At 51.9% G+C, this 16,355-nt stretch overlaps 1 long non-coding RNA gene across 1 annotated transcript, besides 3 other annotated features; it reads left to right on the top strand.

The window, feature by feature from the left end:
* Nucleotides 3,905–4,405: an enhancer, noted in NCBI's record as "H3K4me1 hESC enhancer chr6:157552291-157552791 (GRCh37/hg19 assembly coordinates)". NCBI's record gives its function as "activates a minimal SCP1, AML or CMV promoter by ChIP-STARR-seq in naive H9 embryonic stem cells {active_cell/tissue: H9 hESC(naive)}" and the evidence as "EXISTENCE:reporter gene assay evidence [ECO:0000049][PMID:30033119]".
* Nucleotides 7,587–8,087: an enhancer, noted in NCBI's record as "H3K4me1 hESC enhancer chr6:157548609-157549109 (GRCh37/hg19 assembly coordinates)". NCBI's record gives its function as "activates a minimal SCP1, AML or CMV promoter by ChIP-STARR-seq in naive H9 embryonic stem cells {active_cell/tissue: H9 hESC(naive)}" and the evidence as "EXISTENCE:reporter gene assay evidence [ECO:0000049][PMID:30033119]".
* Nucleotides 8,088–8,588: an enhancer, noted in NCBI's record as "H3K4me1 hESC enhancer chr6:157548108-157548608 (GRCh37/hg19 assembly coordinates)". NCBI's record gives its function as "activates a minimal SCP1, AML or CMV promoter by ChIP-STARR-seq in naive H9 embryonic stem cells {active_cell/tissue: H9 hESC(naive)}" and the evidence as "EXISTENCE:reporter gene assay evidence [ECO:0000049][PMID:30033119]".
* LOC124901445 (uncharacterized) lies at nt 14,215–15,409 on the top strand. Its single transcript, XR_007059830.1, has 2 exons — nt 14,215–14,295; nt 15,079–15,409. It is a non-coding gene; the product is annotated as an uncharacterized LOC124901445 (long non-coding RNA).
* The last annotated feature ends 946 nt before the right edge of the window (nt 15,410–16,355 follow it).

Raw genomic sequence — 16,355 nt, 5'->3', positions numbered from 1 at the left:
GGCGGGCGGATCACAAGGTCAGCAGATCGAGACCATCCTGGTCAACATGGTGAAACCCTGTCTCTAGTGAAAATACAAAAATTAGCTGGCCACGGTGGCGCATGCCTGTAATCCCAGCTACGCGGGAGGCTGAAGCAGGAGAATCGCTTGGACCAGGGAGTCGGAGGTTTCAGGGGGCCAAGATGGCGCCACTGCACTCCAAAGAGAGACTCCGTCTCAAAAAAAAAAAAAAAAAAAAGAAAGAAATGGTTATATTTGAACATTGGCATAAGATTTAGCGTCCTGGGGCTTGGGTTCCCTTCCAGAGTAGTAAAGCAAGCCCAGGCTGATGCCTCCAGGGAGGGTGCCTGGCCCTGCGCACTCCACCATCAGCCTGGCCTGCTTTGGTCCCCACCTAACCCCTACCTTGCCTGAGTTTGTCCATCAGGCCCAGTTCTGACCACTAACTAGCAACCCAGGGACTCCCAGGTCACCACCCCCAAGGCTGAGTTCTCACTGTGTCTTTTCTTGATGACTTTGGCTGTCCTCAATGACTGTGTCACTGGCCGGAGAAATCCACCCTGCTCAAAGAAGGAGAGCATCTCCTCCCCCACAAACTCCCTCCTTTCCAATTTCCCCACTTCCTGCATCACTACAAGTTGCAATACACCAGTAGGAACACATTTGACTTATTTTGACGTCTTTCTCTCTCTTGCTCCTCTCAACACCAAATTCAATCTGCTCCAAATCTTGGAATGTCACTCAAATCCACATGGTGTTCAATGAAGGTTAAGCGTTGAAGGCCAAGAGTGAGGTGAAGGGTGTTTCAGGCCAGGAACAGTGCATGCAAAGGCAGAGGCCAGTGAAAGCACCTAATGGTGAGAACCAGCCAGTGGTTTGGGGGTCCCTACTGGAGGGCCCCACCACCTGGCCTTTGTTTCAGCAGCTGGGTCTAGTCTTCTAATCTTCTGCCATTCAAAACCTCCTCTCTCCTTGGTTCTTAAAAATACCCAGTGGCCGGCTGGGCACGTGGCTCACGCCTGTAATCCCAGCACTTTGGGAGGCCGAGGTGGGCAAATCACCTGAGGTCAGGAGTTCGAGACCAGCCTGGACAACATGGTGAAACCCCATCTCCACTAAAAATACAAAAATTAGCCAGGCGTGGTGGTGCTCATCTGTAGTCCCAGCTACTCAGGAAGCTGAGGCAGAAGAATCGCTTGAACCTGGGAGGTGGAGGTTGCAGTGAGCTGAGATAGTGCCACTGCACTCCAGCCTGGGCGACAGAGTGAGACTCCATCTCGAAACAAAACAAAACAAAACAAAACACAACCACAACAAAACTAGTAGCCCTTGAGCCCAGTGATCTTTTCTGTCCCCATCACTTGTTGGGGTAGCAATGAGTCTTCAAAGTCCATTTCCCCAGGTGTGAGCAGGGCTTCCTGTACACACCCAAACAAACGCTAGTGTCCCCATGCAATTGTCTTGCTATTTGCAAACAAGCCTGTGTCCCTCTCAACCTCTGAAGACTGGGACTAGGTCACTGTCTTTCAGAACAAAGAGGCCCAACCAACCTTTTCCACCTTAGTCTTTTCTCAAAATCTCCAATAGGCAAGCCTCCTCCACACCCTCATCTGGACCCAATCCTGAGCCTGGACTTGTGGGAGATGTCACTCACCGGGCAGCAGCAGGTGTTACAATCCTTCTATGTTGCTGAGATGAAAGCTGGGACCAGGGCCAGGTGGAGAAGGGAAGCTCTTTGGGCCTGTTCATGGAGAACGTTAGCTTCACCAAACCATTAGCAGCCACACGGTGCAGGGAACACTGCTGATCACACACACAAGGCCTCTTGTTGGAGCCAGCCTGGGAAAAGACCTGGCTGGGTGGTGTCTGCTTACCTGGACATGTGCTCCTGGAAAGGGACTCAGCATCAGCAAATGCAGAAGGCCCCATTCTGACAACTTGAGATCCAAGAATTCCTTACTTTGTGCCTCTTCATCCGATTAAATACAAAGATTTGGGTAGCAGCCGCCAATCTTCCAATAAATCACCCAGAAATGGGGAGATTTGACCTGGGACCTTGGGTCCTCCCATCACCATGAAAACCAGTGTTCCTACTGCATGAGAATAAAGCCAGTTGCTGATCAGAACAAAGGGTTCCAGGGGAGACCCTGGTCAGCTCACTCCTGCCAGTCTGCACCTGTCCTGCCTGGCTTCGTTTCTTCTGTCCCAGCCTGTGAGGGAGAGGGCCACAGTTCTGTAAAGCTTTCTCTGGGTTCTTCCAAGGGAACCCCCTCCCCTGCCTTCAGGGTGGGAGGTACAGGAGGAGGAACAAGGGACTCGGATTGGAGCTTGCATCTATCCTTCATAGCTGTGTGATGCTGGGGAAGTCACATGCCCTCTGAGCCTCAGTTTCCCCAGTGAAGATCAGAATGATAATTGGCGTACGTCGTTGCCCGTTTAAAGGAGAGTGATTTGTGAATTACAGAGCCCTGTACAAATGTCAGTTATTGTTCTGATCCTTGACTTTCTTGCAGTCCCCAGGGGCTGGAATAGGAGCCAGTAACTTGTGGAGTAACAAGAATAATGACTAACAATTTTGCAGCTCTTACTACTCTGAGGAATGATACTTCACATGAAGTATTTAATTTCATCCTCACATCAATCCAAGAGCATAGATACTATTGGTGTTTCCATTTCCAGGTAAGTACTGAGGTTCCAGGGCTGGCCAGCCAGGAGTTCTAGGTGGACCCACAGTAAACACAAACCTCCCATCCCTGTTTGGAGAGCGTCCTCCATTCCTAGCTGCGTCCTCACATCAGCAGTCCCTGAAGGGCACCTGCCACCCTTGCATGGAGCTCAGCGTGTTCCAGAACTTCTCCAGGCCCTTATTTCACATCTTTGGCTCCTCGGGTCCATTTCCCACCAAGTGTGGAGGCCGATCTGCGTCCCTAAAGGCTAGGTTAAGGAGTTCTGCTCCAGAGCCGAGAAAAAAAGCCCGGTCCCCAATGGTTGAGGGACCTCTCTGTCAGGTGGCCTGGCCTCTGGGGTGTCTTCTGCCATCAACCAGAATTGTCACTGGGGGGGGCCACCTGCCACCCTTCAGAAGGTGGGCTCCCAGCATCCTGCCTTGGGCTGGGGCCCCTCCCTAAGTTTGTGTGCGCCCCCTCAGTGCCCTGCTTCTGCAGGACTGGGGCTGAGGGGTCATGGCCAACACTGCACCGACTCCCTGCCCTCAACTCGGCGTGGAATCAGACCGTCTTTCCACTCAGGCCACTGTCCTTCACGCCTATCCCCTGGTACCCTCCACGTATCTCCTGGCCACCATCAGAGACGTGTTCCTGGATGCCAGGTTGGGCCTTCCAGGCCCTGACCCCTCAATACACCTCTCCGTTTCAACAGAGCCTGCCCCTTCCCCAGCTCTGGCCAGGCCCTCAGAAGCTGGACTGAGGATAAGAGCCCCGCAGTCAGAGAGGACATCCTCACTCTGACTCCTACACTCTGCCTGGAAATCCTCCTCTGGCCAAAAGACAGCGCAGTTAAACCAGCTGCGAGGTCCCCCGGTGGGCCAACTTTGTTGTGTGTGCGGTATTTTTAAAGCAAAGCCTGCCTGTCACATCACACAGGCACTAAATCAGGTGCACATTATTGGAGATATCTCAGAGGAAGCATATTGGCTATGTTAATAACAACAATGCACTCATAATGTACTTTTCAATTTGAATTAATTTTTGTAGCTAATTCTAGCTACTGAATGTCTTCATTTAAAATATACACATACATGTGTTTTGTTCAGTGTTTTAATTAGGCCCAAAGGAATATACTTTCCATTTTTGGTCCACTTCATTTGTTATATTAATGAAAAGGCACTCTAAATCAAGTTTCACGTTGATGTTTCATTACGTATGCTGTTCTCACACATCTCTAAAAGAGATTTACGTTGCAGGGAGTAACCACAAATACTGGCAGTGGACATGCTGTTAATTTAAAGTGTAAAGTTTTCTTTTGAGGTGCAGCAAAAACATAAGGTCACACACTTCCCGAGCACAGCTGACTTCCCTGTAACGTGGCTGCACCTGGAATTCAAAGCAGGGGCCCTGCACTGCCCCCTCCTAAAGCGTGTGCCCACCTAGGCTCCGATAATAGAGATCAGAGCCCGACCTGAAGGACTGAGCCTGACTTCAAGGTATCCATGACTGGGAAGGAGAAGATTCAGGAGCTGGGGGGGTCTCTGGACTCTGCATCCGCTGTGTGTTGGGGGGCTTCGGTATGGGGACTGGATTGCAGCTCGTGCCACTGACACACACACATGTGAGCACACAATCACTCTCAGCAATGATGATGGCGTGCCCGGGGCCCTTGCCACATGAAAGGCCTCAAAGTTGGTGTTGGCCTTGTCCTGGGCTGCCATTGAATGTCTCCTGTGGTCCAGGCAAGGCGTGGAGCCTGTCAACCCCGTGCCATCTGACTGAATCTGCACCAGTGCCTGTGGGTAGACAGCAGCACCCCATCCTCGTGTGTAGAGGAGGAAGCCGTGCACCTGGCTGATGCGTCACAGAGTGAAGATGTGAAGCCAGGCCCAGTGCCTGCCAGCACAGGCCATGGGAGCAAGTTCCGCTGGGGACAGACCTCCCCATCCCCACTGGTGTTGGGATAGTGTGACACACTTTAGAGGTAAACCTGGGCCTAGTAACTACCTAAGAAGGGCAAAGCGGTTGGGAGGAGGGTGAATTACAGCTCCCTTTAACGCTGCCATTGATATTTAGCCTTCAAACGTTAAGCTCCATTAGACACATGTCTCGGCACTAAATTGTACTTTAACGCTTAAGAGCAGTTTGTTAAATCTTCCATCCTCCACTCTGCAGACTGAAAGCAAGCTACTCAGGAAAACGAAGCTGGAAGACGATTTTCTGGAACTGCCTGGAAGCTGTGGGCACTGTAGGTGACACAGACTCTCTTCCTTATCTCTTAGGAGAAAGAGGAGATAATTGGGACAATTCTGAGAGTAACAGAAATCACCCCACCCTTCCTTTCCGTGGCCCTCAGCGGGCCTCCAAACACCCTGACAGACACTGTTTCCCTGCTTCTCCTGATGGCCCTGGAGCCTGAGGTGTTATTATTCCTGCTTTGTAGACCAGCTGGGATTACAGGCTTGCGCCACCATGCCCGGCTAATTTTTTTTTTTTTTTTTTTTTACATTTAGTAGAGACAGGGTTTCACCATGTTGGCTAGGCTTGTCTCCAACTCCAAACCTCAAGTGATCTACCTGCCTTGGCCTCCCAAAGTGCTGGGATTACAGGCGTGAGCCACCGCACCCAGCCCTGCATTTTAATTTTGAAAGAGTACTTTTAAATGTACAGGCAAAATACGTTATGCTTGGCTGGATGATGATATTCAGTATGGTATGCACTGAAATAGCCTCTTTATAGAAAGTTAAGATAAATATAGCAGTTTAGTGCACCAAAGGATGTGTTTCATGAAATGTTTGGAATTCATATTTGGTGTGACTTTTAAAATTGTGATTATCAATAATCAGACATAAAAGCTATAATTTGTTGAGCACCTACTCCTTGTGGCCGCGTGGATTATGTCATCAATTTAAGTTTACACATTACTTGCCCGCCAGCCACTCCACCCAGCCACACCTGCCTGCTTGGCCTAGGACTGCGTCAAACTCTTCCTCACCGCGGGGCCTCTGCACCTGCTGCCCCAGCTGCCTGGAGTGTCCTCCCCTAGGCTTTGTGTATGTTGGCTCCTCCCATGCTCCAGAATGTCACGAGGCCGTCCCTAACCATCCACTTGTCCCCTTGGGATGCTTTCATAGCACACTGGCCTTTTCTGCCTAGCACACACCAGAATCCTGGAATGATGTTATTTCTGTATTTATTTGTTTTCTTTCTCTCCCACTTAGGGTTGCCAGACAAAATGCAGGATGCCCAGTTAAATTTGAATTTCAGATAAACAATGAATATTGATTCTTATGCTAATTTAACTGGGCATCTTCTGTATTTGTTTGCTAAATGTGATGACCCTGTGCTCACTAGCCTGAAGGCTATGCGAAGGAGACTGCCTGGTCCCCCAGTGTATTCCTGCTTCACAGCAGGTGCTCAGTCATTATTTGCTAAACGCACCTGACAAGCTGTTGTGTGGTGGTTTCAAACCGGCCTTCCCCACACCACAGCCTGTGCCTCTTCCAGATGCTGCTGACGGCAGTACCATCACCGGCCAGACCACCGTGTCCCACATCCCCAAAGAGCGTATCAACAACCCCAGCCATCCCCATTCCCCACTGTCCAAAGACTAGAGTCCAAAGCAGGTCAGCAAACCTTCAAGAAAACTATCTTTGAGATGCTTAAAACTGAGCAGAAAACAAGAGAGTTGGTCAGGGAGGAACTCATCTTAGGAGGTGAAGCTAGACCCTCAGCGTGCAGGGTAATCTGGGGAAGAGGAGGCTGTGAGATGGGGGCGTGCACTGGCAGGGAGGTGACAAGTCTCAGCAAAGAAGCAGCGGGTGTGACCTCGGCACATCCATTAGAGGTGCTCGTCGCCATGGAGACCAGACAAGTGGGCGAGCAGCCAGGGAGGCAGGAACAAAGTGGCTGCCGGCGCGATGCTCACGGAGAGCCTGGGAGTTAAATGCACCTGATGTGGCTGAGTGGAGACTCGGAGTTGCCCAGATGTCCACCGAGACATGCGTGGAGGAAGGGGAGGCCGCAGCTGTGACTCCACAGGACAGAAGGAGCTCAGAAAAGTTCCAGGAAATGTCTGGTGGCTCTGGGGTAACTCTTCTGGAGGTGGCATCTCTGGGTACAGGGAATGATCCCCCAGGAACGCGCCCTCACCCTCGGTTCTGGGCCCATGCACAGACCCGGGCAGTTGGTGCTGGGCTGGGCACAGCTCTCCCAATCCCACAGCCTGGCGCCGCCTCCCGGTTTTGATCCCCACTCAGGGAGCCTGATGACAGAGGCCAGTGTCAGGGCTCATCAAACCCCAGAGCTACCTTTGGTCTTATGTGACACTCCGGCACCCTGCAAGGCAGAGCCCAAGGGGACTCAGAGCCACTGTCCCCCTGGGAAGCCCAAGGTGTGGAGTAGAGAGGCCACCACCCACAGCCCCCACATAGGTCTTCTGACACTGTCCTACGCTGTCACACACAGATGCCGGGGGCTGACCTCATGGCCGCCTCTTCCTTTTCCAGGCCCAACCATAGAGGCTAAAAACTGGGTTTTCTTAAATTTTAACAGTCATGACATAGGAATATCTACGAGACATCATGAGCCCTGTGTTGCCAATTCTGTTTTCCTAATTTTAAAAATTAACTTATAATTTTACCAGCTGAATTCAAGATTTGGCCAGTTCTGGGTCTTGTTAATAATGTGTGTTGATAAACCCACCCATAGCTTGGGAGAATGCCCCCTCCACACTCCCTGGGTCCAGGCCTGCCATGGCCCCTGACTCTCCTTGCACTCTCTGACACCTGGGAACTGGCCCCCGGCATCTAGAGGCAAGACCTGGAGGATGTGGTGAGGCGACGCCCAGAAGTGGGAGTGCAACTTCAGAGGCAACGGCCTCACAGCAATTGATTTGGAAGCAACATCTGAAAGGAAGGAGGGGAGGGGTGTTGCTTATTGCAGGATAATTGACATTTGTCGTAGAAAAATACAATTAAAAGAACCAAATAAAAATGGGTAACCCCACCTCCTAGTGGTGGAACTGGTTAATGTTTTGAAGGCTATGCTTACAGACCCCGGTCTCCATGTGTGGGCATGCGTGCGTGTGTGTGCATGACCCCGGTCTCATGTGTGTGTGTGCATGACCGCAGTCTCCACGCGTGTGTGTGTGTGCATGATCCGGCTTCCACATGTGTGTGTGCATGACCCCGGTCTCCACGTGTGTGTGTGCATGATCCAGTCTCCATGTGTGGGTGTGCACGACCCCAGTCTCCACGTGTGTGTGCATGATCCGGTTTCCACGTGTGTGTGTGCATGACCCCGGTTTCCACGTGTGTATGTGCATGACCCTGGTCTCCACGTGTGTGTGTGCATGATCCAGTCTCCATGTGTGGATGTGCATGACCCCAGTCTCCACATGTGTGTGCATGATCTGGTTTCCACGTGTGTGTTTGTATGACCCTGGTCTACACGTGTGGATGTGCAATGTGTGCATGACCCCAGTCTCCACGTGTGGGTGTGCATATGTGTGTGCGTGCACATGACCCTGGTCTCCACGTATGTGTGTGCATGATCCGGTTTCCGTGTGTGTGTGCATGACCCCGGTCTCCACGTGTGTGTGTGCACGATCCAGTCTCCATGTGTGGGTGTGCACGACCCCAGTCTCCACGTGTGTGTGTGCATGCACGTGTGGGTGTGCATGCACGTGTGTGCATGAATGGCTCACATTGTTCTGAAATCTCCTTTTCATATTTAGAGATAAATTCTTTCATGTCACAGAATTATTTCCTCAACCAATAAATGGGGGTGGTTGGGCCATGCCTTGCATTTCTGCAGCAGTTCGGCCTTGCCCAGCCTTAGAGGTTCCTGGTGTGGACACCCTGACCCTCCTCTGGGAGGGACCAGCTCCCACTCACACCTGCAAGCCTGATTAGCAAACCTGACTTGGTTATTCAAGTGTGAAACTCAAACTCAGGCAGGCATTGGAATTCAAGTTTCCTGGAGCTATGCTAAGGGCTGGGAGACCTGAACCGGGCTGCAGATGAGGGAGGATTATACCAGACATATCTGGCAGAACACAGCCGGCTTGAGCTCTTGAAAAGACTTTTGGAGTCAGGAGGTGGTTTGGCCCAGCGATTCATTTTGTAGATAAAGACACTGAGGTCTGAAACACAGAACTGGGGCTGGGGGTGGGGGTGGGAGGGGAGGGAAAAAGTGACAAAGGAGAAATTTCTAATGATTATAATTCAAACAATAAACTTTCATAAAAGATTAGTAGTCTGGTAAAAAAAATATTGACAAAGGATACAAATAGAAAATTTCCAGAAAACAAAATATAGATGGGTTAGGAACATACAAAAAAAAAATTCAATCTTGCTGACAAGGAAATGAAAACAGGACAAATTTCGCAAAGCGGGAAGATAACCCAGTGCTGGCTGGGTTCAAGGAGCTGGATCTAGATCCTTTCTTAGACTTCTGCTGGGATTTTCCATGACGTTCCCAAGAGTGTAACTTGGCCACATGTCCAGATAGCTTTAAAAATAGTCATACCATTTGAAACACTGTTTTTCACTCCCTGGAATTTATCTTAATGAATTAATTAGAGATTGTGACAAAGATTTATCTTCTGGGATGTTTGTGGCGGCATTTTTTTATGAGGGTGAAAATGTGGAAGAGACATGAATGTCCAACAACTGGGGATGGGTGAAATAAATGGGGCCCTAGGCAGCCACAAAGGCTCAAATTTTAGAAAAATTAATGACATGAAGAGGCTTAGGATATAATAAAATTTAAAGTTTGCTTACAAAATTGAACACCTTATTAAAGTGGATATTTCTGGATGCCAGAATTACAGGTAACTGATATTTTTAACTTTGTTTCTCTATGCTCTTGTACTGTTCTAAGTTTCTACAATGGACATATTTTTAGCTTCTAATTTTAAGAAAAGGACAAAGAAGGGAGGGTGAATAGGAGGACACAAGGAGTGAGGGAAAGAACTATTTGTGTGACTGTTTGCTACATACCGTCTCCCTGTTAGCTTGTTAGCTGCAGGCTCTGGGGCTTGGATGAGGCAGTCTTGGCTCCCTGTGCCCCTCGACGTGTCCAGCACCCACACCCTGGGCCCTGGCCTGGGCTAGCAGGTGGAGGCCAGCAGCGGATGCGGTAGGTCAGCGGTGGGCAGGTCCTGCGGGAAAACGCAATGGTGTCCCAGGCCAAGGGCAGCCTGCGGGCCCCTAGCTGGGACCTGGTTGCGGCACTCAGTCGACAGACTCATTGGGTGTGGGGGCACTGGATGGTCTCTGGCACCCACTTCCCCTGGGAAACTCAGGGACGAGGCCAGTGGGCCTGGCTGGCGAGTGTGGCAAGACGGCACTAACGCCCCTTTTCCCTATGCCTAAATCGTGTCCAACTCAAGCGGGAGTGGACATGGCTGGCCTGTTAAAAGTATGCTCCGCAAAGGAAATCCCACGTGATTCGTTCCGCTGGGACAAAACCCAGACATTTGGCCACACTGAGTGAACACCTGCTCCGTGCCAGGCACCCTTCCAGACTCCGAAGACCCAGCAGCGAGTAAAGCAGACCCAATGCCTGCCCTCGTGGAGCCCTGAAGGTTAATGATCTCAGTGCAAGGATTGGGGATGTGGGGAGGAACGAGGCAGGAGCGTTGTCAGAGAGAGGGAGCACCAAGAGGCTGCTGGAGCCTCCTGGCTCGCTCTGCAGCCTGGCCGGGCCCCGGGAGGGAGCCGCTGCCTAATTGGCTCCTGCCTGTTTCTAGTGGTGTCCATTTGAAGCCATCTAACGGCTCAGTTCCTAAGAAAGTTCCAGCAGAGGCCCTTGATTGCCCTCTGGAAGGCTAATTAGTCCCAGAAACAGAGCGTCTGTGGGGCCTGCGGGACGGGGGAGCCCTCAGCCGGCACAAATGGCGGAACCGGCATGGGGCTGCCTTCTAATGGCTTTTTGAAGGTTGCTCTGCGTTTGATTGACAAATGCCATATGTCCCTAATGCGCTTCTCTGAGCTCTCTCTTGTTCACCTCTAAAACAGGTTCCTCTTTGCTTTGATTTCATATATACGATTTTACCAGTCCCTGTTCTTTAAAGGCAGGAAAGTCCTAACAGCTCATCCCCACACAAGGCCCCAACAGTCGCCAACTCCCGGCTCTAATGACTGCAGCCGAGTTCTCCAGCGCCTGCCGCTGCAGGGGACAACGGAGCGGGCCCGCCGGCCCCCCTCAGCCGCTCCCCACTCACCCCTCCCCACTCACCCCCTCCAAGGCTGCCGCTCCCCTGAGGGGGATGCTCTGAGCCACGGGGATGAAAGGCCTGGTGATTGCTGTCACGAAGGCCCCAGAAGCCCCAAAGGCGCAGGAGACGCAGGCGGCTAAAAGCACCCGATGGGATGCTGGCCTGGGCCTTAAATAGCCATGCTGTGTCAAGGGAATGTGCTGGGCGCCAAACCCAGGGGCCACCGGAGCCACCTGCACCGGGGTGCTGTCCCCAGGGACTGCAGCTCCCTGGAGGCCTCCCCGAAGCCCGTCAGCCACAGACTTCCTCATGTCCAGCCACCTCCTCGCTGCTGGAGCAGCTGCCCTTTCTTCTTTGTTCCGCTCGAAGCCGAAACAGAGCCCAGCTGTGGCCCTCAGCATCCCCTCGGCAACGTGACAGGTGTTATTAACTTGTGCCCTCTCCTTCCTCATCTTCGCCCCCTCCCCTCCCGCTGGCCTTCTCTTCTCCAGGCAATTCCGGAAATTTCTGATTGCTTTTATCAATCTTCTCTCCCAGAGACACATGGAAGCTGCATAGATCTTATTCCTTGCTTGGATCTGCTGGCTGGAAAGGCTTGACCGTGAGGACGGTCTTGCTCCTGAAGGGTAATTGGAGGTGCAGGAGAAATTAGAAGCCACTACAGCTTGTCACCGAGCATAAGCGACAAGCCCATTACCATGCTCGCTAATGACCGCCTGAATGTTCCCCTTCATTTTGTCAAAAATAACATCCTCATCCCCACGCAGCACTCCATCCAGCACCTGTCTGTCCCGCACCTCCTTCAGGCTGGTGTCTTCCTTTGCTGCCACCAACACAGCTTCTCTTGTTCCTCAGGGCCCCCCAACTTCTCTGTCATCCATCTGCTCCACCCCGTCCAGGAGCATCCCCGGACCACCGTTCGCTGCGCAGGACAGACGCCAGCCACCTTCTCTGTGTTCCCTTGGGAGGTAGCAGCGCTCTTGGGGCCCATAACGGGAGGAGCTGCCTAAAACATGAAGAGATCAAGAAGTCGTTTTGCCCCAGCACGCTTTTAGTACAAAGTGCTCCCTCAACATCCGCTGAGCAATGGGAGCCTCCTGGACATGAGTGCCAAGAGCTTGCGGGGGACCAGAGGGAGTGACACGGAGGGGCACCAGCAGTCACAGTCCACTGCCACCACGCGGGGGGGGGGTGCCCAGCGCTTTCCTCTGGTACTGGGGGAGACCTCCTTCCAAATCAGCTCTGGGGGTTTGCCTGCCCCCAGGGCATTTGGGCTGTTTCGGTGCCCATGAGTACTAAAGATCCCCGGCCCTGTGACACCAGCGGGATTCTCTGTGTTTTCTGCACAAAGGTTGCAGCTGTCGCTTCGCTCCACGGACCAGAGAGCGATGCATAGGGGCCTCCTCAGACCAATCAGGAGCTGCTCGTCACCTGGAGGGCCCCTGGGCGGTCCTCCTGCCTCACCACTGCCCTTCAAGGAGTCCTCCCTGGCGACTCATCTGTGTTCCCCAAGCTGCCTTGCACTGGGGCAGACAGAGCCACTCCCTCCCAAAAAGGCAGGCAGGAAAACCACAGCTCATAAATGGCCCCACAATGTCACTGAGGAAAGGGGAAACACTGCCTTCTCTCCTTAACAGTAAAATCAATCGATGCCCAGTAAGCTAAGGAGAAAACACACCCACAAGCGCGGGCAGCTGTTTTCCTGGAGGGTCTTCACCTTCCCACTGCTATGTGCTTTGCCTTCCAGGGGCCCAGCCCCACCCCAGCTCCGAGCTGGGCAAAGGCCCTGCCCTCACAGCTGGGGTCTGGGTGGACAAGGGATGTGACCTATGCCATATACACAGAACACGGCTTCTGACTGTTTTCTCTATTGAGGAAAAGGAGCAAGAGAACTGGGCCCCACATGGCAGGAGCCACCCAGGAGGGCTGGGAGGAGGCTCATCTTGAAGAAACGACAAGAGGAACCAGGCCAGGGCCAGGTGGGGGCAACCACCGTGTGAACCACTCTCTAAGGTGGGCAAAGCCATAGAGTCATGTGAGAGCCGCTGGGACAACCCTGCCTGAGATGAGGACAGTGACCCAAGAGGCCAGGTCAGAGTGACTCCAGCCCACTCTCTCCAGCCCTGCCAACCGGCAAAAGAGTGTGCGACTGTGATGAGAACGTGGAAAGGCAGGGAAGAGCACGTTTGGCAGCGGGAGAGGTGGACGGCAGGCAGGAGAGCCTGGGCAGCCCAGGTTGGGGCCACAGGGCTGGGAGTGAGGGGACATCACCAATCACCAGTGGGACGCCAACAGATTCCTCTAGCCACAGAGGGGGTGGACGCATTGCAGCAGAGCCCTTGGCTGGGGACACCCGCAGGGCGGCCCTTCCTTGACTCAGGAACGAGGCCAGAGGGTCCTAGGAGGGCAAGGGGAGGGTGACCCAGGACTTCCAGGGATGTGGGACTTTCAGGGCCAAAACGAGGGAAGTCCCAGGAAAGCTGGGACCAGTTGGTCCCCCTATCTAGAGGGAAAAGTCTCCGGAACTTTCGCTGTACTCCACTGAGCTTGCAGGGCCCACACCCTCCAAAACCCACACACCTACATCCCCACACCATGCAACCATGCAACACGGGGCAGGAGGCCTCCCAGGAAGAGACCCACAGGGCTGCTGGGGCTAAGACCGGCAGAGGACAGAGGCCACCCTTGAGCACAGCCCTGGGGACCTGAGACTGCAGGCAGCAGGGAGGCAGTGAGGATGCCCGGGCTCCCAGGGCTGGGGGGACTGCGGGCGCCTGGCTCCAGGGACAAGCCCTGGCCCAGCGTGTGTGTATGTGTACGTATGTGCACGTGTGTGCACATGAATGCGAGAGTGTGCGTGACTGTGACTGAGCTTAAGTGTATGTGTACGTGTGTGTGCATGACTGTGTGGAAGTATGTGTGACTGAGCGTGTGTATGAGTGTGTGTACGTGTGTGTGCATGGCTGTAAGTGTATATGTGTGTGCACGCACCTGTGTGTGTGAAAGTGTGTATGTGTGTGTGTGCGCGCGCGTGTACGTGTGTCTGAGTGTGCACGTGTGAGTGTGTGGTGAAGTGAGCAGGGAGAGGCCTGTGAGGACAGAGAACCAGGGGCCCTGGTATAAACTCTCATTGTCTAGTCATGGAGGAGTCATCTTCAGAGTCCCCGTGATGGCAGCAACACGAGGGCAGCACGCCCGCCCAGGCTGAATCGGCCCCTGCCGTCTAGGAAAGGGAGAACGGCTGCCGGCGCCGCGGGGCTGTTTCTGCGCACGCGCACTATGCTGGCCCCGCTTCCTGGTCGCCACACCGCCCTCTGGTTCGCACACAGCACCGGAGAAACCGGAGAAACCGGAGAAACCGGGAACGGCACATGGGGCACCTCCGTGCTATTTTTGCAACTTACTGTGAGTCTACAATCATTGCAAAATAAAATGTTTTAAAAAAGGTATTAGATGTATTTTTTCATAATAAAAACCTGGCCATGTTCTAGGTGACAAAAGCTCCAGCAAATTCCAAAAGAAACAGAAGAGCGGGGACGTCGTGTCCTACCTCAGGCTGTGGAGGTGCAGCCACTTGTGGCCAGGAGCCGGCCAGGGGCGGGAAGGGGGCAAACCGAAGGGACTCTGGAGGTGCGGGGTCCCTTCAGTTTCTCTTTACTCCTTTGTGTGAGACTGAAATATTTCAACACAATTTCCAAAAAAATCCATCTCAAATCCAATAGATTATGGAGAAAAATAATTGAACGTATAAAAGATCCAGAAATGTAAAATAAGGGGGCTTATGTGAGGAATTCCAGCAACTATTTTCCTGTGAAATTGATGTTCTCCAAGAAACAGAAGAAAACTCTATTCTAAAGGAAACTTGGGAGAAAATTGCTTCTGTGAAAAAGGAACCGGGCCAGGTGCAGTGGCTCAAGCCTGTAATCTCAGCACTTTGGGAGACTGAGGCAGGAGGATGGCTTGAGCCCAGGAAGGAGTTTGAGGCTGCAGTGAGCCATGACTGTGCCCACCCAATACCCACACCCCACTGCACTACAGCCTGAGTGACAGAGAGAGACCCTGTCTCTAAAAGTAGAAGAGAACAATTTGAGACTTTAAAATATTGTTTTATACCAAGATATGCACAAATATATAAATAAAAAATATTGTTTTTAGAAGTAAAACATTAATTACTCATTGGTTTTTCAGCTCAACAGAAGCCATGAACAGCATATTGGATATAACAGATAGCTAAACTAATGACTCTAGAAATTCTCTGAGCACCCAGAAGAAAAGATAAAGAGGCGAAAATAATAAATAACAAGACAAGAAAAAGGCAAGAACGCAAAATATCTGTTGGGTATTCCTGGAGATTCCAGAAGGCAAGCGTGAGCAGAGAAGTAATGATGGAAGAAATAAGAGATGAAAAGTGATCAAATATAGAAATTATATAAGCCATGTTGTGATAATAATGCAATAAAACTAAAATTCAATAGTACAAGGAAAAACAGGGAAAAATAAAACCTATTTCAAACTAAAAGAGCCTCCAAAAAAAATCATGAGTAGGAGAGGAAAAGAACACAGCCATTGTGGGTTTTTATAAAACAACAGTCATGGCATAGGAATGTTCTGAGAAGAAAACTGGTATTTTTTTTGTCTTGTTTTTGAGACAGGGTCTCACTCGGTCACCCAGGTTGGAGTGCAACGGTGCCATCACTGCTCACTGCAGCTTCCACTGCTTGGGCTTAAGCGATCCTCCCGTCCCATCCTCCTGAGCAGCTGGAACTACAGGCACACGCCGCCATGCTCAGCTAAGTTTTAAATTATTTGTGAAGATGGGGGTCTCACTATATTGCTCAGGCTGTTCTGGAATTCCTGGGCTCAAGTGATCCTCCTGCCTCAGCCTCCCAAAGAGCTGAGATTACAGACGTGAGCCACTGTTCCCTGGGGAAAACTGATAACTGGAATGTGTTTTACAAAATTCAACAGAAATGAAAATAAATGTTGTAATTAAGAAGCAGGATAGTAAAGAACAAACTAAACTAGAGGGAAGGAGAAGAAAGGGTAAGCTGAGAAATTCATGACTCAGAGCGAGTGGTATCAATGACACTGAGAGCGGGTTCTCTGCAACAGACAAGCCTCTGGCAAGGTTAATCAAGGAAGAGAGAGCGCAAACCCCAACCTCCACACACCTTCATGAGAAGAGGAAGAGCTGCAAGGAGAGGCCAGGCCGGCAGGGAGGGCTGTGGGCAACTCAGCAGGAGGGGCTTCTGGGAGGCTGAGCATGGACGAGGGAGCCCCGGGGAAAGGGCAGGGCAGGCTCTCATTTCCCAGGAACACCCGTCAGCCCCACCTTTGGGGACAGGGAGCAGCCTCATAAAAGGGAAACATGTTGCGTCCCTCTCCACACGAGCTCTTGGTGAGAAAAACCCGGCTGCTAGGCCCTGTGGGTGACAGCCGTGATATTCTTTCTGTGCTGGTGCAGA

This window comes from Homo sapiens, chromosome 6, assembly GCF_000001405.40.
Source record: "Homo sapiens chromosome 6, GRCh38.p14 Primary Assembly".
In the NCBI taxonomy this organism is placed as follows: domain Eukaryota; kingdom Metazoa; phylum Chordata; class Mammalia; order Primates; family Hominidae; genus Homo; species Homo sapiens.
This window is presented reverse-complemented; position numbering and strand designations above follow the sequence as displayed.